The sequence below is a fragment of the Homo sapiens genome, chromosome 20 (assembly GCF_000001405.40).
Source record: "Homo sapiens chromosome 20, GRCh38.p14 Primary Assembly".
In the NCBI taxonomy this organism is placed as follows: domain Eukaryota; kingdom Metazoa; phylum Chordata; class Mammalia; order Primates; family Hominidae; genus Homo; species Homo sapiens.
In genome coordinates, this window is record NC_000020.11 from 63148783 (window position 1) to 63173960 (window position 25178).

Sequence of the window (25178 nt, forward strand, 5' to 3'; positions counted from 1 at the left end):
TAGAACAGCGGCTGGCATCACCCGGGCACCTGCCACGTGCCAAGCATGCAGCTAAATGTCACTCACGTGGCCCCGCCTGACCTCACACAGATGGGCTGGGCCGCTGATGGCCCCGTTTGTCAGATGAGGAGACTGGAGGCAGCTCCAGGTCACAGAGCTGCGAGATAACAGGCAGGAGCCCCCAGCGAGTCCAGAGCTCACCCTCCCAGGCCCCACCTCCCATGGCCTGCATCTTCAATTTCCAGGTCCCAAGCAGCTCAGGACTAGGCTGCTTCTGGCTTCTGGGTCCTCCCGGGAAGTCACAGCCTGGCACTGAGACCACCAGTCCCAGCATCTGTTTTCCCAGCAGCCCCGTGCTGGTGTTTTCTGCAGCTGCATTTGTGTTCTGTTGGCAAAAGAGGAACCTGCTCTGCATGGTCCCAAGCAACGGACGGGAATGTTTAACTTGTGTATTGATCTGGCAGCTCTCCAGTGACTTGGGATTTGCCACAATAATTCACTTTCCACCTGGGTTTGTTTGTTTGTTTTTGAGAGAGGGTCTCGCTCTGCTGCCTAGGCTAGAGTACAGTGGCACAATCACGGCTCACTGCAGCCTCCACCTCCTGGGCTCAAATGATCTTCCCACTTCAGCCTCCTGAGTAGCTGGGACTACAGGCGTGTGCCGCCACACCCAGCTAATTCATATTTTGTTTTTTGTAGAGACAGGGCCTCACTATGCTGCCCAGGCTGGTCTTAAACTCCCTCCTGGCCTCCAGCAATCCTCCTGCCTAGGGCTTACAAAGCACTGGACCTACAGGCGTGAGCCACCACACCAGCCTGTCTGGGCATTTTGACATCATGCAGACGCAGCACAGAACTGACCTGAGGGATCCAACAGCTCACCCGCCCTGAGGTTTCTGGGTCTGCAGCTGGGCCCAGGCCTGCAGTGCACACAGCTGTTCCCAGCACGTGCCTGTCCCTTCGACTCAGTGCACACAAGAAACCAGATGAGCCCACGACTGCTGGGACCGAGGCTGCCTCGAGTCCCCCACAACCGAAATGTCCCCTCCAGACAGAGGCCTGGAACAAACAAGGCTCAACTAAAAATAGACTTAAGCATGAGAGATTCAGAGGAAGGCAGCTATTTTTGGTTTGGTGTGTTTTTGCAAGGAAAGATGAGAAAAAGAGGCTCCCTCGAGGCTGGAGAGGGAAGTGTGTAAGAGGGGCACAGGGGACTTGGGGAGAAGCCACAGCTCCTTTTGTCTGTCCTGGGCTGACTCGTCTGCCTGAAATGTTGAAATCCCGACCCCCAGGACTGCTAGGGGAGCTCTAGTTGGAAGCAGAGTCCTTGCAGATGTTATCGGTTAAGATGGGGTGACACTGGATTGGGGGGACCTCAAATTCAGTAACTGTCCTTATAAGAAGTGGGAGATACGGAGACACAGGTAGAAGCCACGTGAGATGGGGTGACAGTGATGCGGCCACCAGCCAACGGCAGCAGATTTCTCTGGTCGTTTCTCTGGCTAGAGAAATAACACCTCCCCGAGCTGCATGTGGTGCAGCGGGACCCACACGGTGACCCCGGCTGTGCGTCTGGGAGGGCGGTGGGTGCTGGACCCCTCCCCACCAGGAGATGAAACACGTGCAATGACAGCAACCCAGGCAAGTCCCCGGGGAGACTCAGAGCCCCGGGCGGGGAAGGGTGGGGAAGGGCTGTCCCAGGAGGAGGCACTTGCCAAAGAGGCAGTCGCCATGCTGTTGGCTGCAGGTCGGGGGGAGACTGAGACCCACCCAGGTCAGCAGGGGCTGGGAGCGCGGGTCAGCAGAACGCCCCAGGGAAACCGGGTGGGTGCAGCATCTGGGAGGGGATTTGCCCTGCGAGGCTCCTCGTGGGGCCCTTTAAGCCACCAGGTCTCCCAGTGGGATCAGAGCAGGATCCCATGGCCTGAGGTGGGGCTGCGTCTGGCTCCAGCCCCCACCCCTCATCTGTGCCCACGTGCACCCCAGCCCAGACCACGCCCAGCTGATCACAGGCCGGGCGAGCTTGAAGGTGCTTGGAGAGGTCAGAGTCCAGCCAGGCTGGGTCTCAGAGCGACCCCCGTCTCTAGCCTCAGACAAGGTGCCCCTCTCCAGCCCTCAGACACTGGCCTGGCCTGATGAGAGGGACATGGCTGGCAGAGGTTTCTTCCCAGGTTTGATCAGAGCCAGAGCAGGGGAAAGTTTCCCTGTTGGGGGTGTCGATACTTTGGGAAAATGGGTTCCTGGTCCCAAGGTTGACGTCCCCCTGGCAGAGTGGGCCGCACCGAGGTCAGGACACGAAGGGTCTTCTCCTGGGTCTGCTGGAGTCGGGGGCAACCTGCAGCCTTAGGGGTGGGGGGTGCGGGTGTCATGGACGTCAGCCCCACCTCCTCTCCTGCAGCCACCTGAGGCCCACCCACCTCCTCATCCCTGTGCCCAAACCCGCACCCTGGTGCCCAGCACTTGGGGGCGCCCACAGATGTGTCCGTGACCACCTTGGGAAGTGGCTATGCGTGTGCCGCAGCCCCACCGGGGTGGCTGGGAGGTGCCCTCGGAATGATTCATGCAGTGACTTCCCTGTGGCCTGGCCCATGGCAAGTGCTCTGGGGACGTGATGGTGGTGCAGGGAACATCGCCCCGGGCCTGCAGCTCCCGCCCACGAGCTGTGCCCAAACCTCCCCTCAGGCCTGCAGCTCCCGCCCACGAGCTGTGCCCAAACTTCCGCTAAGGCCTTGGGCCCAGCTGGATGCAGGGAGCAGGGGGTGCGCTGGGCAGAGAGGGGTCTCCAGGCAGGGACCTTAAAAAAGGATCCCTTCCGTGCTGCCGGTCAGGCCCCTCCAAGTACTCTCTGGAAAAGGATTTCAAAGTCCAGCCCCGTGCCGTCCACCCAGGCTTCCCTGAGAGCCACGCCCCAGGGCCCTGTTTCTTGAGAAAATCCCAGCATGAAAAACAGTTGGGAGGAAAACAGTTTGCTGGGTCTCCAAGGCCCCTCGGAGAGCACCCTCCCGAGGAGGCCTCTGAGCCACCTGGTGCCACCGGAACAGCTGCAGCCGCCTGGAGAGCCAGAGGGAGCCGGGTGGGGCCCGGGGGTGGCGCTGGCATCGCGGAACACCCCCGCCCGCGTTCCAAACGAAAGCACATCACCCCCAAGCGACGCGACCTAGGGGCGAGTTTTAAAAGGAGCACTTACTTATTTTTAGAGTGTGCTTTTCACTCAGGATCACACGACGGAGCTAAATTGCAATAAAAATAGTGCAATCCCGCCAGCAAGAAGCCCATTCGGCAACGTGTCCTTTTGTTCAAAATAAAGTGCAAAATGATTTCTCGCAATAACACCAGCAACCGGCTTCAAAGGCCAGCTGGGTTGGCTCAGGATAAATGACTAAGCGTACGCCGAGCCCTGCGGAGGAAGCTCAGCCGGCCGGGGCTTTGCTCCAGAGCTTCCTTTTCCAAAACAGATGCTTGGGACCAAGATGGAGCCAGGGAAGCCGGGTTGGGTGACGGCGTCCGGGTTCCTAGGCTGGCAGGCTCGGAGGCCAGAGGGCAGGCGTCCCTTCGGGTACTGACTCCTGGGGCAGGCAACAGATTCCTCCTGGGAGGCCCAGGCGGAGGCAGCACAGCATCTCTCTGTTTTCCTGCAGGCCGACGGGGATCCTCAGTGTGGTCCGCTAGGAAGATGAGTGAGCCCCAGAGCTGAGTGTGTTTGGGCTGTGGATTGTGATGCAGCTGGAAAAACACAACCAGGACCACCCAGCAGGAAGCACAGGAAGACTAAGGCACAGAGAGGGTCAAGAACTGGCCAAGGTCACACAGCAGGTGTGTGGGGAGCTGGGATTTGAACCCAGCTCCAGAGTGTGTGCCTTGACCCCTCACTGCCGTCCACAAGGGGACCAATGAGGGTCCCTTCCCCCAGCAAGTGCCAGACGAGTCCTACTTTACTGCTCCTTGCGGTGCTCCCCCCTCGGCACACCTGAGCCGCCTGGAGCCACTCGGGCAAACCTCAGGCGTTCCACTCCGATAAGGGTGTCAGGGAAGAGCGAGGGACTGTGCTTCAGGGGGAGAGCTCAGGCTGAGAGAGGAGAGCCAGGCCCGGGGGTAGGGTGGCGAGGGGCCACCCAAGGGGGCCACACCACCTCCCTGCTTGCCACTGCGGGCTGGACCCGCTCTGCCCGCCTATCTCCTCCACCGCCTGGGAGAAGACCCATCCTGGGGGCCCAGAGGGTGGGGCAGGGTGGAAGTGGCCTCGGTCCTCTGCTCCCGAGAGTCCTGCCTGTGCCCAGTGTGGCTGAAGTGACCCAGAGCCCGGGAGGACGTGGAGGACAAGGCTGGCCCAGTGCCTCTCGAGTCCTGGGCTTTGGCTTCTCCAGAAGCAGCCCCTCCACAGAGGAGGCCTCTGACGTGTCCAAGGCCTCAGCTATGTCCCAGGAAAGCGGGTTTCTGGGTGAGCTATTCCTCCTCTGGGGAGAATGGAAGCCAGCCTGCCCTATGGGGCTGAGGTGGCTGAGCCAGACCCACACCCTGAGCTGTCCCGTCTGGGACGTGAGCAGGACTCTTGGAGAAACAACCCTTGCAGATGCTCTGTGGATGACAGTGAGGGGTCATGGCACACACTCTGGAGCCAGGTGGCCAGACTCAAACCCCAGCTCCCTACACATGTGCTGTGTGACCCTGGACCTGTTCTTTAGCCTTTCTGTGCCTTAGTCACCGCACCTGCAAAACGAGGCTGCAGCAGCTTACTCAGAGAGGAATAAAGGCTGAGGACCTGGGTCTTTACCTGCTGGCTCTCCTGGCCCCCCCCGGGGCTCTGAGACACAAAGTCGCACAGGGGTGGGTCCCACTGGAGGAGGGGTCAGTGTAGAGGTCCCATTTTGCTAATGGATAAAACTTTTTCTCATTTTGATTAATAATGACTAAAAACTGTGTTTATTATTCCTTTGTTTTCTGTCCTGCTGGGACTTCAGTCAAAAAATGATTCTCATAGACTCTGAGTCAAGGTGCCGGAGGGACAGGGTCTTTCTAAACGGCATTTCGCAAGGCCCGCCGGAGGAGGTGCAGTGCCAAGATGCAAAACAGAACCAGCAATAATTCAACTCTGAATATTTTGCCTTTAATTACAATAAACTAATAAAGATTTCAGATGCTCTCATTTTAATAGAATGAGGAGTTATAATTGGTGACCTATTTTAGGCAATTTAATTTCCAATGACCTGTTTTCCAAATTAACATAGTAATCAAGGCCAGGGTGCCGTTCAGGGAGTCAGACCCTCCAAGGGTCCCACACCTGCACCGCGTACAGGCGCATCTCTTACTAACGTGCTCATAGAAGGAGGTGCTAAATTATGGAAAGGTTCCTTTCTACAGCATCTAATGAGCCTGGATTTTTAAATCAAAGCATAATCAAAGAAAATGAGCAAGGACATCTTGAGCATCTGTAAAATCACTGTTGAAGCCACAACCCTCAATGACTTCGAAGCTCTTCTCAGGACTGGAGTGTATGTCCTCCCCGAGGTAGAGATCGCTCTCAGAGGCTCCTTCAAAAACCCCCAGGCAGGAGGGAGGGTGAGTCGCACACCTCGGCCTCAGGTGCCCTCCCGCTGCCTCCCAGGGACCACCGTGCAGGGCCACCAAGAACAGGCAGGGGGGAGGGGGAGCAAGGTGGGGAAGGTGGGGCAGAAGAGAGAAGCAGGAAGGAGGGAGAGGAAAGAGAAGAGGGAGATGGACTGGCCTCAGCCACCCCGGAGTACAGGGATGTCATCACACCAGCCCTCCAGCGGCTGAAAGAGCCAGTGAGAGGCAGGTGGGGGTGTGGATCAGGCCTGATCTCCCCTAGTCTCCTCCTGCAATGCCCAGATTCTTGCCCCCGTCCTTCCTTCTCCCTCCTCCCTTCCTCCTCCCTCCTCTTCCCTCCCTCCTGCTTCCTCCCTCTGCCCTCCCTCCTCCCTCTTCCTCCCTCCTCCTCCTTCCTGCTTCCTCCCTCTGCCCTCCCTCCTCCCTCTTCCTCCCTCCTCCTCCCCTCTCCTCTTTCCTCCTCCCTCTCCCTTCCTCCTCCTCCCCCCTTTCCCACCCTCCTCCCCCTTTCCCTCCCTCCTCCCGACTCCCTCTCCCCTTCTCCCTCTTCTCATCCCTTCCTCCTCCTCCCTCCTCCCTTCCTCCTCCTCCCTCCTTCCTCCCTCCTCCCTCCTCCCCACACTGTCCATTTGCAGGCTGCCTGGTCCTAGCCCATATCCAAGGGCCTGTCTCAGCTACAAAGTTCTGCTCTCTGCTTTTAAATGAGGACACAAGGTGGTTTCCAAAACACATGTACAAGGCAGAAATTGCTCTTGAAACAGCAGACAAGCAAGACACAGCCCTCCCTCCTGTTCACATTAGAGGCTGCAGGCAACCCCAGTTGTCTCAGAAATGGGAACAAGCCCCCTGCTCAGCAGAGCTGGTTTCCCATGGATAGAGCTGTTGGCTTTCTGGAAACCTTTTTCTCCCCACCCTAGACCCCAAACATCCTTGGGGTTGTGTAAGAAGGAAGGGGATGTCCCAGGCTGGAGGCTGGCAGGGCAGCTGGAATACGGGAGTGGGAGGGGAGGGAGGAGGCGAGCAGGGAGCAGGGCCAGTTCTCCTACATGCCTTCTTCCGGCCTCTTCTTCCCCACTCGGGGTTCTCACAGGTCCCGCCCTTGGTGCCAGTGATGTCTCTTCTGCACCTGCTAAAGGGCAGAGGGGCCCCTTGGAGGCAGCTCCATCCAGGCCTGGCTGAGATGTCCAAGAGGCAGCAGGGTACAGGGGTGCAGGTTAACCCTGCCCCAGAGTCTCTGTCCAGGAGCAGCAGGAGCAGGCTCAGGACGGCTTCAGCTCCATGGCTGCCCTGGGTGGAAGTCAGGCTGGATACAGAGGCCAGGTCTACGGACCCTGCAGGCCTCAGAGGAGGAAGTTCTGTTTTGGGAGCCCACTGGTTCCTGGGGCCCATGAGCCCCACCTACTTCCCACCAGCAGCATCTTCCCCTTGCCCCACTGCAGCCCCTGGACACAGTACAGCACAGGGCGGAGTGAGGGCTGGGAGGGCCTTTGTGGAGTCCCACTGGCTTCAGGTGAAGATAGTGGCCCTGGCTGACCCCAAGCCTGATCCCCAGTGGGCCTGCTCCTCTCTTCTCACCCCGCCACTTCTCTGGGCCTTTTCCAAGCCAAACTCTGCTCCCTCATTCAATAAAATCTCTCCCGCAAGCCAGCCCCCTGGGCCTCCACCCGCCCATGGCCTCCGCAGTGGCCAGGAGCCTGCGGGAGAAGGTGGCATCTCTTCCCTTCCGTAAAATCTCCCCGCCCTATTTACAGGAGAAACAATGCTCTGTGGCTCCCAGCCAGCCCTGTCTCCCCTGACCTTGAGCACCTTTGTCTAAAGGGATGCCCTCCTTAATTCTGTGCTGAGCTGGATTAATTTTTAAAGATGAAGCTCCTGGCTCGTGTGTGCTGCTATTTGTGGTGGCGAGGTCAGGCAGAGTGCCGGCCCGGGGAGCAGGAGGTATTAGCGGGCACTAATTCCCTGGGGACAGCAGGCCGGGATTATCGCTGTGTGCCCAGCCCTTGCCAGCCCTGCTGGCTGCCAGCTGCTGGCAGGGGCCTCACTGTGCCAGGCTGGTGGCAGCCCACAGTGCACTGGCCACATGGAGCGCACTGGGTCACGGAGCTCTGGATTCAGGTGGGATTATGCCCCCCACCGCCAAAGCCATCCTTCCTGGCAGCAAAGGCCTGTGGGCTGTGGCTGCACCTCTTTCCTGGGTCCAGTTTCCCCCCAGGGATTCAAAGTTCCTGGCCCTTTTGTGGCTAGGGTGACCACAGATGACTCACTTGGGGCGCTAGCTGGGGAGGCTAAGGAGTCCTCCATCAGCCCCCCAGCGCTTCCTGCAGAGCCCATTGGGCGTCCTATGACGGAGGGCCCTGCAATGATGCCAGGTTTCAAGGTGTGCAAGGGGAGGCTCCTGCCTTGGGCAGGTTTGTCTGTCTAGAGAAATAACACCTCCCTGTGCCAACAACAGGGAAACTGACGGGGTGAGATGCACGTTACAGCAGCGAGGGAAACTGACGGGGTGAGATGCACGTTACAGCAGCGAGGGAAACTGACGGGGTGAGATGCACGTTACAGCAGCGAGGGAAACTGACGGGGTGAGATGCACGTTACAGCAGCGAGGGAAACTGACGGGGTGAGATGCACGTTACAGCAGCGAGGGAAACTGACGGGGTGAGATGCACGTTACAGCAGCGAGGGAAACTGACGGGGTGAGATGCACGTTACAGCAGCGAGGGAAACTGACGGGGTGAGATGCACGTTACAGCAGCGAGGGAAACTGACGGGGTGAGATGCACGTTACAGCAGCGAGGGAAACTGACGGGGTGAGATGCACGTTACAGCAGCGAGGGAAACTGACGGGGTGAGATGCACGTTACAGCAGGGAGGGAAACTGACGGGGTGAGATGCACGTTACAGCAGGGAGGGAAACTGACGGGGTGAGATGCACGTTACAGCAGCGAGGGCTGGAAGAGTGCAGCGCAGGCGCCTGGTCCCTGGGCTTCTCCAAAACAGTGTAGTGTCAGCCTCTCCCAGGAGCTCCTCAGAAACAGAATCCTAGGCCTCACCTCAGACCCTCTTCATCCAAGTCCACATTTTCACAAGACCTCCAGGCAACTCAAACACACATTTATGTTTGAGAAGTGCTGCTGCCCTGTTAGGCTCCTGGGGGAGGTCAGTCCTAGAGGTGGGGGCCTTGCAGATGGGCAGAGCCACGTGGGAAGCAGTGTGTGGTCCCTGAGCCAGAGGGTCATCAGGGCCTGAAGCTCCCCCAAGCACAAGAGGGCGCCGGTGCAGCCATCGCCCCATCACACTCCTCCTTTAGAAAGCAAAAGAGGCCGGGCGCGGTGGCTCACACCTGTAATCCGAGCACTTTGGGAGGCCGAGGCAGGCAGATCACGAGGTCAGGAGTTCGAGACCAGCCTGGCCAATATGGTGAAACCCCGTTTCTACTAAAAATACAAAAATTTGCCAGGCGTGGTGGCACATGCTTGTAATCCCAGCTACTCTGGAGGCTGAGGTAGGAGAATCGTTTGAACCCAGGAGGCGGCGCTTGCAGTAAGCCGAGATCATGCCATTGCACTCCAGCCTGGGTGACAGGGTGAGACTCCGTCTCAAAAAAAAAAAGCAAAAGAGCTCCCAGGAAGGTGCTCACGCTCCTGAACGAGGGTGGGAAGGTGCCCACGCTCCTGAACGAGGGTGGGAAGGTGCCCACGCTCCTGAGTGAGGGTGGGAAGGTGCCCACACTCCTGAGTGAGCGTGCACATGCTTACAACTGCGTTTCCCCTGCTCAAGATCCTCACAGCACTTAGAGGACAGGAGGGTTGTCAGCGCTGAGTCCTGATCACACAGGCTTAGTGTTCAGCAGGTGGTTGGGGAACACGTGGATGGATAGGTGAATGACTGGGTGGGTGGGTGGAAGGATGAATGAATAGAAGGACGGATGGGTAGGAGGATAATTCAGGGGATGGATGGATGGATGGATGGATGGATGGATGGATGGATGGTGGATAGGGGGTGGGTGGGTTGTGGATGGGGATGGATGGGGATGGGTGACTGGATGGTGAATGGTGGATGGATGGTGGGTGGGGTGTGGATGGATGGTGGCTGGGTGGATGAGTAGGTGGGTGAATGGTGGATGGGGGATGGGTGAATAGATGGTGGGTGGGTTGTGGATGGTGGATGGGTGGTGGATGGTGGATGGATTGTGGGTGGGTTGTGGTTGGTGGATGGATGGTGGATGGATGGTGGGTGGGCTGTGGATGGTGGATGGATGGTAGCTAGGTGGGTGGATAGATGGTGGATTGGTGGTGGATTGATGGTGGATGAGTGGATGGTGGATGGAGGATTAGGTGGGTGAATGGATGACTTTAGTCTCCAGAGAGTAAGAAAAGCAAGACGAACTCTAGTACGCCACTGGTGGGAATGTGAAATGTCATAGGTACTTTGGGAAATAGTCTGGCAGTTCCTCAAAACCTCTGGGGTAGGCTGTGAGGTCCCTCCCAGGGCTCAGCCGTGGGGCCCCATGTACTCAGGTGGTGCTCACCCAGCCCTGGGGGGCATTCTTTTGGGGTAAACACAGTTACCTCGTGACCCAGCAATTCTGCTCCTAGGCATGTAGCAAGGAAAAATGAAAACACGCAGCCATACAAAAGCACGTGCACCCACGTTCACAGCAGCCATACAAAAGCACGTGCACCCACGTTCACAGCAGCCATACAAAAGCACGTGCACCCACGTTCACAGCAGCCATACAAAAACACGTGCACCCACGTTCACAGCAGTTTCATTCATGACGAGCCGAAACGTGGAGACAACCCAGATGTCTATCCTGATGAACAGATCAGGAAAACGGGGCACACCCAGACAAAGGGATGTGATAGGGTCACAAAAGGACTGATGTGCAGATTCATGCTACAACGTCAGGGAGCCTCGCAAACGTCGTGCTCAGTGAATAAACAGACACACACGACAGCATGTATCGTGTGGTTCTGTGTGTATGACACATCCAGAATAGGCAAATCCTTCCAAAGAGACAGAAGGTAGAGGCGCGGTCGCTGGGACAGATGTGGGGACGGGCAAGGTAAAGCAGCACAGACCTTCCTTTGGGGGATAAAAATGTTCTAAAGCGGATCAGGGGTGATGGCTGCACGGGCCTGTGACTATGCTGGCCGGGGGCCGGGGCGGGTGGCTCACGCCTGTAATCCCAGCACTGTGGGAGGCCGAGGCAGGCGGATCACGAGGTCAGGAGTTCGAGACCAGCCTGGCCAACACGGTGAAACCCTGTCTCTATTAAAAATACAAAAATTAGCTGGATGTGGTGGCGCACGCCTGTAATCCCAGCTACTGGGGAGGCTGAGGCAGAAGATTTGCTTGAACCTGGGAGGCGGAGGTTGCAGTGAGCCGAGATTACACTACTGCACTCCAGCCTGGCGACAGAACGAAACTCTGTCTCAAAAAAAAAAAAACATTAAAAAAAAGTGACCGTGCTAAGAATTATTGAATTGTGCGGTTTGAAAGAGTGAAGTGGGGCATGTGGGTTGTATCTCAGTAAAGCTATTAGTTACCCAAGAAAAGCACAGAAAGCGAGATGGTCAGGCCCATCACCCTGCTTCCTCCCAGGGGCCTGTGGGTGAGGCTCAACTCAGGAGCTGGGGAACAAGGACAAGGCCCTGGGCCGGGCGTCTGTGGGGCCACCTTGCACCATGCTGCCAGCCCCAGCCTGCTCCGCTCCTCACCTCTGGGCCTGGCCCTGCACAGACTGGGTCACCCTCTTTTCACAAGGCAGGACAGCACTGTGCTTCCTGTTCAGCCCAGGCTGTCCATTTCCCACCAGAGGGAGGGGAGCAGTGAGCCCCCCCCCAGGGGCTCATCAGATTGGGGGATCCCATGTGCCCAGGGAGGCAATCTCTGAGCCCCGCAGCCCTGGCCTGTGGAAGCAGCCTGATGGCCATGCATTTCAGAAACACCCACTAGGAGCTGGGCCACACCTCTCGTTAAAAGCTGGACAGCCAAGGCCCCAGGGCTGGCCCTGGGCAAGTCTCCTGTCAGCTATGGGATCCACTGGTAGGGTCTACAGGCTGATGGAGCCAGGAGCGGGCAAACATCCCACTTTGGTCCCAGAGGGCACTGTGCAGCTTCTGCCGTCACAGGGGACATTCCCAAGTGACCAGAGGGGACATCCACCCTGAGCAGCTCCACTGTTGGGGGCCTCAGGCTATGTGGCTGGGCTGAGCTGCCAGCTCCCAAACAGGACGTTGGCCTCTTCTGACATCCAAGCTCTGGCAGGGGCATGTGTCCTGCTGGATGGGACTGGACAATCCTCACGGGCTAGGGGAAGTATAGCCCAGGGCAGCCAGGGGAGGCTCCTCTCCATGGAGGGAGGACCCCAAGGCCAGGGTGCTTTCCTGAGCACTCAGGACTGCCATGGGAAAAGCAGGCCCCTGTCAGCCGTGTGCACAGCCCCTCCCACACCTGCCTGGGAAAAGTGAGGCCTTAGAGCCCGGGAGGCAAATCTGCTCCAACCCTGGAGGTGCAGAGACCAAAGCCAGGGGAGGCTTGCTGAGGACACCTGCCGAGGGGCCTTGGGATCTGGGCCAGAACTGCAGCATGGCTGGGAGCCCCTGGGCCCATCTGGAGGAGGCTGAGTGGTAACAGGCGCCCTAGCTTCACACTAGCCACCCACTGCCCCCCACTCAGTCACCTCCTCTGCTGCCCATACTGAGACCCGGTGGCTCAACCAAGACTTTGGAAGGACAAACCGGTGGTCATGGGTCACGTGCCCACCGTTCAAGGCCCCAAGAAGCCCCCTCCATTGCTGCTCTGTCCCGGAGGTTCCTGCAAGGAACACACCTTTTGCTTCCATGGTGACATTTGCGGTGCTGTTTTAGGCTTTTCCGCCTCTTTCCTTCACAGGGTCCTGGGGCACCACACCAGGGAGGCCTGGCCGGGCACACACAGAGGACAGTGGGAAGTAAGCACCAGGGCCCGGCCTCCTGCCTGAGGGGTCAGCCAGCCGCTGACCACGTCCTGTAGCTCCTAACGTAAGCTTTGCACCCAAGAACAAGGGGCCCTTCCAGCCCCTGACTCCCCAGTTAACCCCCAAACACTACAGAGTGTTGGCCACAGTCACACACATCCAGCCCCAGGAGGGCCTCTGCCTCCTCCCTTGACCTCCAAGTCCCCTTCCTGCCATTCCCTGCCCTGGGTGCCCCCACTCCCGCCTTTGACTCACCCCATGGCCATTTGCAGACGTGGAGCCCCTGGCAAGGTTCACCTGCGCCAGGATCCCACCACCTCCTCCGCCTCCAGTGGCCATGCAGGCCCGCTGACCACATCCCTACTGGGCACATGTTGGACCCCAAATTTCCTGTCCACCAGACCCTCAGACTATGAGCTTATCTGGAATAAGGGTCTTTGCAGACATAACGAAGGGAAAGATACTGAAATGAGGCCACCATGCATGAGGGTGGGTCCCAAATCCAGTGAGACAGAGAAGCAGAGATGGACACAAATTCGGAGAAGAACACCACGTGAAGAGGGGAGCCGAGGCTGGAGCGAGGCAGCCACAAGCCAAGGGACGCTTGGGGCCATTGAAAGTTTGAAGAGGCAGGAAGGACATCCCCCACCAACAGAGCTCCTGGAGGAAGCAGGCCCTGTCCACACCTTGATTTCAGATCCTTGATCTCCAGAACATGAGGGAAGAATTTTCTGTTGTTTTCTGGCTCCCTCCACAGCTCTTAGCGCTGTGGGGCTGCAGACTGGTCTCCTGGCTAACCAGAGAGCCCGTGCTGATAGAGCCACTGCTCAGCCCTGCCTGCACCCAGCATCCAGCGTGGGGCCTGGACCGTCATTGTGTCCTGGTAGATATTGGTCAAATATGGAATGAAAGAGCCTTGGAGTCAGACACAGGGCTGAACGAGTCCTTTTCAGGCCATGGTCTAAGCTCCACACGGCACCTGGAGCACCGCCGTGGCACCCGCTGGGGTCCACAAACACCTCCCGGCCTGAAAAGGGGAATCCCAGCCTTTCCATGATCTCTGGAGATTTGGGACACTTGTGAATCATGCATCGGCTTTACAGGACGCTCTGGGGCTTAGGGAGTTGACAGGTCAACAGTCGGATAGACCGTCCAGGGAAGCTCCCAGGAAGTGGAGCAAGCTCGGGCGGGCAGATGCCGGGTGTCTCCTGGGACCTGCTGCAAATGCCCTCCCCACCTGCCCAACCCCACCCCCTACCCCAGACAGAGAGCATAGCCCCTGCCTGCCAGGAAGGGTGAGCGCCCAGCACAAACAGATTCAGGGCCTCCCGCTGCCCCAGAGGACCTCTACATTCATCAACCCTTGACGTGGTTTTCAATTAGCGTGGAGGAACCAGGGTTTATCGCTCTTCTCCGTCACTCCATTTATATTTAATGCATTTATTGCCCACATTCTATATCAGGAACAACTGCCTAGAGGCTGCCCATCCCCAGGGAGCAGGGTTTTATTTTCCTTTCCTCGCAATCGATCAGAGATTAAGTTGCTGTGTAGCTTTTTATTGGAGACACACATTTGCTGTGTTTAACAGGAAACCAGAGAAGGAAGCTCAGCGTGGGCCATAAATGATTTTGCTTCCATTGATCAAAGAAAAGACTGCCCACATCAGTCATCATCACCCAATGCACTCTCTGAGGGCACCCTATATATGCTCAGGCACACACATGCACACGGGCACACACTATCCAAGAGGAGAGAGAGCCTTGAGATGGACTCAATGGCTCCTGGACACTACCCTCGGCTCCCCCACAGCCTCCTAGTGGCTTCACCAGGGGTGGACATCCAGACTTTGTCACAGCTGAAAGCCCCACCTGGCCTGTGAGGGAGCATCTGCAGCCCCGGACAGCTGCCCTGAAGTTGGCCCTGTGCAGAATGGTAGACCCTTTGGACCCACATTGGTCCATGGAATGGCAGAAGCCTGTTGTCCTTCCGCTGGCTGGGGCCTGAGCATCAAAGTCATCTTTGCTTCAGAATCAAGGAACCTGGGAGGGCTGAAAGCCAACCCTCCATCCCACCATGCTGATGGCGGCCACGGCTCCCCAGTGACTCAGGTTTGGGGATCCTGGTTGGTGATAATGAAGTGAGCAGCACAGGATGCCCTGCCAGGGCCAGGGGTCTATGCCCCCATGTCCCCTACCCCTGAGCAGGTGAGCTGGTACCGAGACAGGCAGCAGGTGCACTCCCAAGTCTTTGAGACGCTGCTGGCAGGAAGTGTTCCCTTCCGGATCTGTCCTCTCACGCACATGAGTGCGCACACACACACACAGGCACTTGCCATGGCACAGAGACATGTTCCACCAGAAGCCTGTGGACTACTCGCTTGGGCTTTAGGGGAGGAAAAGGGAAAAGGGAGGAATTGCTAGGCAACCAGCCAGGGGTTGCTATGGCATTTTCAAGAGAGCGGCTGGGCCAATCAAGGCTGACTGCAGGCAGGCGGAGGCGGGAGCCACCATGTCACAGCAGCTCAGACAGAGGGGAGCACACTGCTGCACAGGCCTGGGGAGGGCTGGCGCCTCATGAATATGCATCAGGCTGATTGAGGCAAAGTCAATTAACGACTTGACGGCTTGATTTCCCCTGGATTCTACTCTTCTCCTTTAACCATTTGGCTGACACAGGGCAGGCTCCCCGCTTTCCTGCTGGCCCCGGAGTTTTCTAACAGGTCCAATTTGCTTTCCTAATCCTGACCTGGCCCAGGGGTCCTGGCATTGCTTGGTGCTGTTTCTACTGAAATCTTCTGCCACCTATGCAGGCAGCCAGGTCGCTGGTCCCACAGTGGGTCCCTTGGTGCCCTGGCAAGGCCTGAATTCCTACCTGGGACCAGGCACAGTGCAGCAGCTCCTGCAGGAGATGGTCCAGTTACCCCCCTTGGACAGTTACCAACTAGCGACCACAGGCCTGGCCGACACACATCTGGGCAATGACCTCACAACCCCTGGGAGCATCTAGGCACAACCAGTTTTGTGGGTGGCGGTTGGAGAAAGCTGGGGGCCAGCCCAGGGCAGGATCTCCTTCCTGGGCTCTGCAGCAGTTTCTCATCTACTGCAGTGGGGTTCTGGCCAGAGCAGTCAGAAAGCATGAAGGAGGCACTGCTCGCTTCCTCCACGTGACTCCTGGGGTGCAAGCTGGGGCAGGGACCCCGGCTCTGCCAGAACCCCCAGGGGGCTAGCAGGGTCTTTGCTGGATTATATTTCTCCTTCATTTCATTGTTCTCCCCAGTGAATTCTGGGGATTCTGAGAATTCCATTTTGCCCTGAATCATACGCAGCTCTTTTGACAGCTTCAGAAGTGGACGTCCTGTTGTGTGCAGCGGGGAGAATGTCAACCCTATGATTAACGCCCCACATGGTGGTGGGAAGAGGCTGGGATGCCTCAAGTCCCAGGCCCAGAGGATGGTGGGCCTCACAAAACTTGGGTGCAGGGTGTTGCAGAGGTCCGTGCAAGAAGGGACCCCGAAGCTGGAAGCTAACCGCCACTGGCTTCTCAGGAAGTCCCCTTGACCAGAACCCAGTCCCAGACATATGAATCAGTAGCCAAAGAGGGCCACAAACTCTGGGTGCTGGCCCCGTGCCTGGCTCTGGGGGCAGAGACACACGGGCCCTTAGGGCTGAGAACTCAGGTGGAGGGGTCTGGGGTGGGAGGGTTAGTGGCAAGGAATGCACGGGAAGAACACAGTCAGCGGCCATGGACCTGGATCCTGTTCACGCACCTCAGGCCCACACGGTGGGCAGGACGGGTTAGAGCCGCCACCTGGGTCCAATCGGCCGGGTGGGGGCAGCCCAGGAAGGTGTTCCCAGGAGCAGACCCCAGGTTCCCTGTTGCAGCCCATCCCGTGGCCCGCAGGCTGCCTAATCTCCCTGCTGCAGCTCCCATTTGCTTGGCCTGCAGAAGGTTTTCAACCACAGCCGAGCAAGGTCCTTAGGCACCTTCAAGGCTGAGACATTCGCCCCTGATCCACTGACTGTGGGCTCTCGGGAGAGCGGCCACACCCCTCTCACCATCAACAGTCACCTGGGCCTGGCCCTCATGGGAGACAGACTCGGCCAGCACCTCCCACTGCCCCCTAGTTGGGAGGAACCCCACTCTCACCTGGGGCTCCCGTCTGCAAGCTCCAGGTGGTAGGACCGACCTGGGTCACTCTCGAACCCCACACTCAGCTTGTGGCCCCCACACATGCTCACCCACCCATCGCCGCAACCGTTTAAAGAGCAAGGGCCCACACCGCACACTCAGAGCAGAGGCGGCCTTCCGAAGAGAGGGCGGGCACACATGGAAGCCACTCTCTTCAGCACTGAACTGAAAGACCCGGGCTGCCCTGAGCTTGGGATGCGGGAGGCACCTGGACAAGCAGGGAGGGCAGAGCCACTCACAGAGCTCAGGGCCAAGCTCATGGCCAGGGACAACTTCTCTGGGTCCTGCTGCCCCGAATCCTCCATTAGGCCTACAATGGACAAGGGAGGCATCACCCTTGAACCCAGCTTTTGAGAGAGCCCCACTCAAGGAAGGATGAGAGCGAGCACCTCCTGTCCCTCCCCGGCCCCAAAGCCCTCGAGCTGCCCCTTCTGCCCAACACCTGTGGTGCCCCTGCACTCAGTAGGTGCTTCATGTATGCTCCATGGACAGGGAAGTGAACACCTGGGCATCCGCACAAGGAGGTGGCACGCACTTATATTGGGATGAGGGACGTGTACTTCCACCAGAGGCCGGGGCTGCCCATCGGCCAGCATTTCCCAAAGTGTATCCTGGGTCGCACCTCGAAGTTGCTCTGAAGAAAGACCAGGGCCTCCTCCTGGAAGCCGGTGGCTCCTGGGTCTTCACTGCTATTGTTCCCTCCACATGGGAGGGTGGGGGCTGCCACCATGTCATGCACAGGGTGCACCCTCAGACAGCATGCACCCCAGGGCACACGGCAAACGGCAGAGCTGGCCTCCACCAGGGCTGTGCGGGGCTGCACTAGATCCAGCTTTCCGGGGCTCCAGGGGGTTCCTCACCAGCTCCTCTGAACACGCTACAGGCCCAGTTGACTGTCACTTTCACTGTTAGGGAGCATGAGGCGTTAGAATCAATCCTGTGACACCACTGTGTTGTCAGGAACGGGCCGTGCCAAGGGGCACCACTAGGTCAGGCCTCAAGGTCTCAGCTCCAGGATGCCTCACCCAGAGCAAGACCCAGGCTGTCTGCAGGACAAAGACGTCGGAAGGAAGAAGAGGGAGAAGCCAGGAAGGTGGAGGTCTCTGAGAAGATGTGGTGACACCAGGGCCCAAGGGCTCCCCAGCTTATGGTGGAGGGCACTGCCTGTCTTGGTGTCCATGAAACTTTGGATGAGGAACAGCAGGAGGACAGGACCCAGGCAGGAGCTTCCAGCTCAGGGAACGACACGCCAGGTGGAAAGAACGGAGCCCCGGACGCCGAGGACGGGAACAGGATCACGGGCACCTGGATGCACCAGGAGGGCGAGAGAATCAGGAGGGGAAAGGAGGAAGAAGGCCTTCAGTTCAGGAGGAGAAGGGCCTTGCAATGCAGAGACCTCGCAGACGCGCCGTCGGCCTGTGGCCAAGGTCAACACAAATGTGCACGGCCTGGGCTGTGGCATGGAGGCCTTCATCTCTCTGCTCTTCTCCCAGAGACAAATTCGCTACAGGACATCCAACAGGGCACCCGGCCACTCCCCTGGAGGCCCAGGTCACCATGCACAGGGCCGGTGAGACCACGGGGACAGCCTCCCGGTCTTTCCTGCAGGGGAAGACTGGGAATCGGCTGCTCCTGCAGCCCCAGTCTCATCATCTGTGAAACAAAGACAAGGAAACCCGTTTTATAGCCACAGCTCAGTCTTTGACTAAGTCACATCCTCATTGCTCCTGTTTCCACAGAGCAGACACCGACGTCCAGACATCCAGACTGGCTGCCACCAGCTCACTGGAATGGCCAGCCCGTCCCGCCGAGGCCAGTGGACATGCCAAATCCCTCCCGCAACAAGTTGCTATCCATCCCCTCGACTAATACTTACCAAATTAATTCCAGATTTGGAGTCACTCATGGTTCCCACCAGCACTCAGCCCCATCTCAGCCCCCATCTCAGCCCCCACCGCAGCCTCACCTCAGTGCCCACCTCAGCCCCCTCCTCAGCCCCCACCTCAGCCCCCACCTCCGCCCCCACCTCAGCCCCTCCTCAGCCCCCACCTCCGCCCCCACCTCAGACCCTCCTCAGCCCCTCCTCATCCCCTCCTCAGCAGCTGCTGGAATGGGCTACCCTCAGGAGTTGGCACCCCACAGGCTCCTTCCCTTCCCACCTCCGCCACACCCTGACGAGGGAAAAATGGGGAGCTGCTGGGAGGGAACTTGCACCCTGTTGGGCGCCTTGTATCCCCAGCCTCCTCTCACACCACAGGCTGCTGGGGCCCCGTCAGCGGAGCACGGCTGCAGCGAATGTTGAAACCACCAGTTCCCATTCCTAGCAGGGCTGAAAGAAGGAGGACACCTGGAACCTGCTTTCTTGCTGCTGCCCTTGGGGGTGGCCCACTCTGGCAGCTGCAGCCTCGAACCTGGCTCACTGAGGGGTGTGTGGGGGAACTGGGGGGTCCCTGGGGTCGGTCCTAGGAGGAAAAGGTGGCAGTTGTCCATGCTTTCTGGGGACGCCCAGGGAAACTCCGCCCTGTGGAGACCGGAGCTTGGCTCAGCCCCTCCCTCCTGCCCTACCTCTGTCCTTTCCAGCCAGTGGCAACAAAGCCCAGGTGTGAGGCGCCCCTGGCAGGCGTCTGGGCCTGGCTCTGAGGGGCCAGCGGGCATGGGAGGGGCTGGCAGGGCGGCCCTTGTGTTCTCTGCTTTGGAAGGAGATAGAACAGTGGTGCCAGCCCACCCGCAGATACGGCGGCACGCAGAGGCCTCATCTGCCCCTTCTGAGGCAAAGCCTCTGGAGGAGCCCCACACCGGGCCCCCCAGGCAGCAGCACCTCCTGGTCCTATCATGTGAGACACACAGCCCGAGAGGACGCCTGAGGTCCGGCGGGGACAGCAGGAAGCATTCAGGGAAGGCGCTCCCCAAGATGGACCATGGTGAGGCTCCCGCCCCGGGTCCTCAGGTGCAGCTGGCTCAGGGAAGGCGCTCCCCAAGATGGACCATGGCGAGGCTCCCGCCCCAGGTCCTCAGGTGCAGCTGGCACCCTCATTTCCTGGGATGTGAGACCCACGCCCTGGATGACGTCCCTCTGTCCTCTTCACGGTGGCTCCTGCCCTGTGAGACCCCAGAATCTTCCAGAGAGACTCCACAGCCTGCAGCGAGCCTGTTTGCTGAGCTCCTGGGGCAGGACAGCCAGACCCCGACCACCCTGATGGTACCACTGCAGCTTTGCGAATGGCATGTCCCCTCCAAAACCTGCTGCCCAGAGGGGAGGAGAAGGGATGCAAGGCAGGTTCCAGGTGCTTCTGTTTTGAATTAAACCAAATTATGAACAAAACAGCCCCATAGGAAGGGCCTTGGGATGGCACCAGCCACCACCCAGGCCTCGGCAGGCCCCAGCCAGGGACCCGGGGACCCCACGTGCCAGCCCTGGGGCAGTAGCATGGCACAGACACAGCAGTGAGCGCCTCCGTGGCTGCCCCACCCAGCCTGGAGCTTGGCGCCCTGCAGGCATGGTTCCAGGTCCCTCTTCAGAGCTGGGAATGATAAGCAGACTGCTGGGACCCCATCCTCACCCACACCTGCGTGGCGGGACTGCTGGCTGCCTTGATCTACCCCTACAGGGGCTGATATCCTGTGGCACCCCAAGCCCCCCGATGACCCTCAGCCAGCCAGCACACAGGAGAGTCCCCAAGGCTCGGTGTAGGGGCCCTGCAGGCAGTGGTGAGATGCAGGGTCTGCGTTTCCCAGGCCGGGCAGTGCAAAGCCAGGAGCAAAGGCACCCCTCACCATGTGGCACCTCCTGCCCCTGCTGGCAGAGCCCACAGATCCCAGGCACAGGATGGGGAGGGCAGTGTGGCTCCCTCCCAGGCCTCAGGGAGTACAGGGACATCTGGGCAGAGGGTGGGCAGGATTTCAGGCATCCTACCCCCTGCTAAGGGAGGCCCCCGGAAATCAGGAATTGGGGCCTAGGGAGCTGAGCAAGCCTGGTCCATTCTCTAGAAGTTTCTCCTCCTGCAGGGCTGGAAAGATAGGTTGCTCTTCTGGTCTGTTCTCTGTAAATGCTCCCCCAACATCCCTGGGTGGGGTTTCCTCTTCCCAAAGCCTGCAGGGCCTGAAGGGTGAGCCCCTCACTTGGTCTCTGCAGCCTCCATCGTCAACCCTCAGGGCTCCTGTCCTCCTCTCCCTGCACCCTCCCTCAGCATTAGGTGGGGGTTCCTGTAAAGCTCTGGGGTCAGGGTCTGGCCCTCAAGATCCCTGTGAATTTGGCGACTGCATCACTCTTACCACTGCCACCTTCCCTGTTCTGCTCAGGGCCAGGTTGCTCCACTCTGCCCTAGTCTCCTGGGGCAGCTCTGAGCTTCTGCACAGTCACCTTCGGAATGCAGGCACCTCCCAGTCCCCGGATCTCCCAGCACTGTTTCACCCCTCGTTGGGTGGAGCTCAGGAAGGGCCTAAGCTCTCCCCATCCCTGCCTCTCGCCCCACCCCTGCCTGGCATCCTCAACAGCCTCACTGGTCCCCCACCAGAAGGCTCTTCCCTTCCATCAACCTGCACAGAGACTGTTGCTGGCGGGGGAACCAGGGTGAAGGTGCCTCTCTGGGCTCCCAGAGTTTCTTGCCCTGGTCTGAGGGGCAGGAAGTCCTGCCATTGATGCCTTCCCTCCCAGTAAAGACAACTGGCAAAGAAACAGATGGTGCCCTTGAGCTGAGGATTGCAGGAGGGTTTAACAAGTGACACGGGCAGTTGTGGGGAAACCCAGGGACAGAACGGCATCCTGGGGCTGGAGAGGTTGAGGCTGCCACCCCTCCAGACCAGAGGGATGTGGTGAGTAGTCCTGCAAGGGGCTTGGGGGCTGACACTCCCTCCCCTCCTTTCCCTCACATCCTCCCCTCCCTCAGCCAAAGCCAGAGGCTCAGAGCCCATGGTGCAGCACAGGTGGCCACCAGAGCCAAGGGGAGGAGGGGATCTCTGTGCACTGGCTGGGATGCAGCACATCTTCACAGTCAGTCATTCACACATTAGTGAGAATTTGTGTCTAAGCCACTTCCAAGGGAAGATATAGGGAGAAAGAAGGCTTGGAAAGACAGTGGGAAACAGAGCTGCACAAAGTGGTCCTGGGGATGGCCAAGGGATGAGACCATGGTGCACCTCCAAGGGCCCAGTTCATCCTTTGCCTCTGCTCCTCCCCAGCAGACACATTCAGCTGCCTCTCCTGAGAATGCAGGCCCACACTCCCTTGTCCAGCCTGAGAAGCCCCCAGTGACAAGGAGAGTGCCCCAGATAGCCCCAGGGTCAGCCCACCCCAATCTGATGCCAACTCCAGGCACAACTCCCATCAGGCGAGCGTGGGAGGAAAATAGCAGATTTTCAAAAGTCACAAATTAGAGCATGAAATCCAATGCTTGACATAAGCCTTCTGTGCAGAAACCGTGAGGCCCTCCAGAAGCATGGAAGCCCCTGTGGCGACTGAGCCCCTTTCCTGACAGAAGATCTCCCTTCTATCCACTCTTTCGTTTAAGTAACTGTGTTTTAAAGACAGCTTTCTATTTCCGCTATTAGTGGAAAATCACTATCACTTGCCCTAAATAAACAATACCCTAAATGAACACAACTGCACTTAAACAGGCTCACCTGCCCCTACCCACGTCGCACAGCCACTGAAGGCTCTGAGCCCAGCGCCTGCCCTCATTGTCAAAACAAGGACATTCTGGAGTGTCTGAGACTCGAAGACAAACCAGCACTAACAGGTCCTTTCTCTGCACCCTACAGGTGCGCCATCCTTAGCCCCCACCCCAGGATACCGCCCTGTTAGGTCCACCCTGCCTGCTTTCCCAGAGCTGCCCCAGGCAGAGGGCCAGCCCCAGGCAGGCAGCTGGGCACAAGGAGCAGGCTGTGTGTCCTTCCCTGCAGCAAGACCCAGGACAGCACAGAGACCCATGCCTCTCTGCGACCCGGGGAAATCCCAGGGCTCTCATGCCCCCTCCCTGGAGGGTCTGCACTGGTCAGACAGGAGGGGTGCATTCTGCCTGGTGGGCTGCTGTTCTGCTCAGCCCCAGGAATCCCTCCCATTTCTTAAGCCCATCCTTCCTTGGGCTTGTCCTCTCCTCCCCTGCCCCTAGATGCCTGGCCCCAGTTACACAGGGAGGTAGGCGGCCCTAGGGCAATGGCCTGGGGTGGACGCTCCAGTTTCTTCCCAGCATGGCACACTCCTGTGGCATTTGACTTAGCGGTGGAGGGGGCATCCCCCAAGAGTGAGGTAAGAGAATACCCATGTCCCTAAAAGCAGACAGCAGCCTGAGAAGTCCCTTTGATGGCCCTCCTTTCTTGCTGGAGTCATTCCTGAGAGGTAAATGGAAAGAGATGGAGATGAGCAAGAGGAAGTTGAGGAGGAAGATGGTGCAGCGATGAGAGAGAACCAAGAAAAGGCGAGATGGCAACACATAGACCTATGGGAGAGACATTCAGAGATGAGGAGAATCATAGAGGCCAGAAGGAGAGATGCAGAGACAGGGGAGACACAGAGACCGGGGAGAGACAGAGACAGAGACCAGGGAAGAGACAGCGACCAGGGGAGAGACAGAGACCAGGGAAGAGACAGTGACCAGGGGAGAGACAGAGACCAGGGGAGAGACAGAGACCGGGGAGAGACACAGAGACCAAGGGAGAGACACAGAGACCAAAGAGAGAGACAGAGACCAGGGGAAAGACACAGAGACAGGGGGAGACAGAGACCAGGGGAGAGACACAGAGACCAGGAAAGAGACAGAGACGGGGGGAGACACAGAGACTGGGAGGACAGAGACCAGGGAGAGAGACACAGAGACACAGGAGAGACACAGAGACATGGGAGAGACTCAGAGACAGGAGAGAGAAAGAGACGAGGGGAGAGACACAGAAACCAGGGGAGACACAGAGACAGGGGAGAGACAGAGACCGGGGAGAGACAGAGACCAGGGGAGAGACAGTGACCAGGGGAGAGACACAGAGACCAGGGGAGAGACACAGAAACCAGGGGGGGGCACAGAGACTGGGGGGGACACAGAGACCAGGGGGAGAGACACAGAGACACGGGAGAGACACAGAGACTGGCAAAAACACAGAGACCAGGGGAGAGACTCAGAGACAGGAAAGAGACAGAGACCAGGGGAGAGACACAGAGACCCAGGGGCAGGTGCTGAGAGAGTGATGGGGACCTGAACCCTGAGAAAGGACTGGCAGATGTGTCCTGGAGGGAGGGACAGAACAAGGGCCGTTCCAGCCCTACCCCGGGACCATGAGCTGCAGGCCATCCAGCAGCTGTCAGCCCAGCCAAGGATGGCCTTGTTCTCTGCACCCCGAGCCAAGCCACTTCTGAGGGAGCTCCACCTTTGGAGGATTGGTGCCTGGGCCAGCTGGGCCCCACAAGCGCCTCTGTGGTGGAGCTCCCTCTGGTGGGGTCCTGAGTGCTGGGGCCGCTGAGAACATAGGGGGAGGGGCATTGAGCCAAGTCCCGCCCTTGTGACCAGGAGGGGGCTCCATGGGGGACACCTGAGGGCCTGAGGAAGGAGAGGGCGCCCTGTCAGATGCCGCCTGCTCCCACTTAGAGGTCAGGCTGTAACTGAGGAGGCCACACAGAGTCCCCACCCCATGTGGACTCAGGGACAAAGAGCCCTCACCCTGTGGCCACGCTGGCCGCATCCAACTTTGCTGGGTCCCATGGAGGGGGACCCAGGGCTGGGAGAGACCCTGCCCCAGCTCTGCGTAGGTCTGTTCTGGGTGGTCCTGAGGCCCAGGTTCAAAAGGAAAGTGCCCTAAATGGGTGTCCTGCTGCATGCCTGGGGTGGCCCCAAAGCCAAGCAGGAGGGGTTCCCGCTGGAGGAGTCGAGGCCACAAGGCCCCAGAGCCTTCTCGAAGCTCCTGCTCTCAAACTCCTCCATCTTTCTAGAGAAGAGAGCAGTGCTGGGGCAAGCTGCTCACCCCTCACTCCTCCAGGGTAATTTGCTGACACCAAGATCCCTAGGTGGGGCCAGCAGGGGCCAGCCTCCCTACCCTCCCCGCAACACACCCTCTAGGACCCTAGGCTAGGCTTGGAGGCAATGGGAAGGAGGCAGCTGCCCAAAGCCAAGAGGCGCCCTGTAGAGGGGGCCAGCCCTGGGCAAGGGGCGGGGGCCGGGGGCTGCTGGCCCAGGCTCCATATCCCCAATTCCCCAGCAACAGTGCATGGCCAGGGAGGCTGGGACTGGCCAGGTTCGCACCTCAGGCTGAAATATTGGCCCCTGGGGAACAAAAGGCCTATTCCCGCCATGGGCCAGGCACCCAGCTCCCCTCGCTCCACACTGGCTCCCGCCTCCCTGCCCGCCCAGGCGCAGTGCTTACCTGGCCTCTATTCTGCCCAGCTCTCAGCCCAGTAGCTCTGGCGGGACCCACAAGGAGTTCCGCCTCTGGGACGGTCAGTCCAAGGTCTATGTATTCCTTCTCACTGGGGCCAGGGAGGAG

At 58.9% G+C, this 25178-nt stretch overlaps 1 long non-coding RNA gene across 1 annotated transcript, besides 4 other annotated features; it reads right to left on the bottom strand.

Moving 5' to 3' along the window:
* Positions 1–14067: 14067 nt before the first annotated feature.
* On the bottom strand, positions 14068–18628 carry LOC124904952 (uncharacterized). Its single transcript, XR_007067715.1, has 2 exons — positions 18592–18628; positions 14068–18368 (listed from the first exon to the last, which is right to left on the bottom strand). It is a non-coding gene; the product is annotated as an uncharacterized LOC124904952 (long non-coding RNA).
* Positions 18286–18486: a silencer, noted in NCBI's record as "peak4310 fragment used in MPRA reporter construct". NCBI's record gives its function as "represses an SCP1 promoter by STARR-seq MPRAs in K562 erythroleukemia cells {active_cell/tissue: K562}" and the evidence as "EXISTENCE:reporter gene assay evidence [ECO:0000049][PMID:32103011]".
* Positions 19238–20012: an enhancer, noted in NCBI's record as "H3K4me1 hESC enhancer chr20:61799372-61800146 (GRCh37/hg19 assembly coordinates)". NCBI's record gives its function as "activates a minimal SCP1, AML or CMV promoter by ChIP-STARR-seq in primed H9 embryonic stem cells {active_cell/tissue: H9 hESC(primed)}" and the evidence as "EXISTENCE:reporter gene assay evidence [ECO:0000049][PMID:30033119]".
* Positions 23762–24338: an enhancer, noted in NCBI's record as "H3K4me1 hESC enhancer chr20:61803896-61804472 (GRCh37/hg19 assembly coordinates)". NCBI's record gives its function as "activates a minimal SCP1, AML or CMV promoter by ChIP-STARR-seq in naive H9 embryonic stem cells {active_cell/tissue: H9 hESC(naive)}" and the evidence as "EXISTENCE:reporter gene assay evidence [ECO:0000049][PMID:30033119]".
* Positions 24339–24913: an enhancer, noted in NCBI's record as "H3K27ac-H3K4me1 hESC enhancer chr20:61804473-61805047 (GRCh37/hg19 assembly coordinates)". NCBI's record gives its function as "activates a minimal SCP1, AML or CMV promoter by ChIP-STARR-seq in naive H9 embryonic stem cells {active_cell/tissue: H9 hESC(naive)}" and the evidence as "EXISTENCE:reporter gene assay evidence [ECO:0000049][PMID:30033119]".